Source organism: Homo sapiens, chromosome 16 (assembly GCF_000001405.40).
Source record: "Homo sapiens chromosome 16, GRCh38.p14 Primary Assembly".
Classification (NCBI taxonomy): Eukaryota; Metazoa; Chordata; class Mammalia; order Primates; family Hominidae; genus Homo; species Homo sapiens.
The window spans coordinates 53,964,384-53,965,720 of NC_000016.10; the positions used below are offsets into that span (position 1 = coordinate 53,964,384).

Genomic DNA, 1,337 nt, shown 5'->3' on the forward strand with positions numbered 1-1,337 from the left:
CCCTAGTTGAGGCCAGGAGGAAGGGTTATGTTTAAGGGAACCAGAACACAACCAATATGTTGTATTCTTTTTTCATTTGTTGTTCATGTAAATTGCTGGTGAGAGAGATGTTCTCTCAGCAGAACTTGAAACCATTTTCATTGGCTGGGGTTTAATATTTTTTTAAATCTCTTGTTTAAGCACATACTAAAAGTGTCCATGTTCTTTCCATTAAATGTGTTGGTTGCCTTCCCAGACTTCAAATTGCAGTGAATTTATCCCCAAAAGATGTTTGGTATCAATTCTCAAGATGCAATTTGAATGTAGTCTGCTTCTATAATGGAAACAGTATTCCAAATCTTCATTATTTAAGTTTCATAGAAAATAATGAATCATTGAATTGGTTATTACTCAACATTGTTAAGGCATATACTGAATTCTTTGTTTTCTTGTCTTATAGCCTTATATCAGCTCAAAGGATAAAATAGTATGAAGATTTCATTTTATGGATACATATGAGACATTAGATTATTATTTTCTAGCTAAATCGTGGTAAACACAAATTATATTATAATGAAGCTTTTTTCCCAATAAGCATTTTATAAGAGGAAAACCTGAAAACAAACAACAATCAGCAAAAAGTTTATGAGTCATTCACCCTAACAATTGTAATAGTTTCCTTGTTACTCCATTCCTGTAGTGATGAACCCCCCGCCCTTTTTTTGTTTTGAGATGGAGTCTCCCTCTGTTGCCCAGGCTGGAGTGCAGTGGCGTGATCTCGGCTCACTGCAACCTCCGCCTCCTGGGTTCAAGCGATTCTCCTGCCTCAGCCTCCCAAGTAGCTGGGACTACAGGCATGCGTCACCACGCCTGGCTTGTTTTTTTGTATTTTTAGTAGAGACGGGGTTTCACCATATTGGCCAGGTTGGTCTTGAACTCCTGACCTTGTGATCCGCCCACCTTGGCCTCCCAAAGTGCTAGGATGACCCCCTTTTATAAAACGTCCCATCATGTTAGCTCCATATAGTAGGGATTAGTGACATCAAATTCTTTTTGGGAATTTATAGTGGCACTAGGGGTAGCAGTATCATTTAACTGTGTGGCATGTTTGGGTAGGTAGCTTTTCTGTTTAAAAGTAATCACCCTTCCCCACCCAAGGGCAACTGTACTGGGGATGGAGGAGAGGTGTCAGCAGAAATTGCATTCTCAACATCTCAACTTCCTTGCTCCCTGCCTAAGTGCCTCCTGAACCATCAGCTTACTATAACTAAAGTTTCTTGTGTTCTCTTGATTTATCTCATGCTGTACCTGTGAAATATTTAGTTACCCTCATTCTCTCTTTTCTCTCTGTTTTCTAG

The 1,337-nt window shown here is 39.3% G+C and overlaps 1 protein-coding gene across 19 annotated transcripts in view; it reads left to right on the forward strand.

Annotated features, from left to right (window-relative positions):
- The window catches only part of FTO (FTO alpha-ketoglutarate dependent dioxygenase), a 417,979-nt gene that overhangs the window by 260,421 nt on the left and 156,221 nt on the right, over nucleotides 1-1,337 (forward strand). The window lies entirely within an intron of this gene.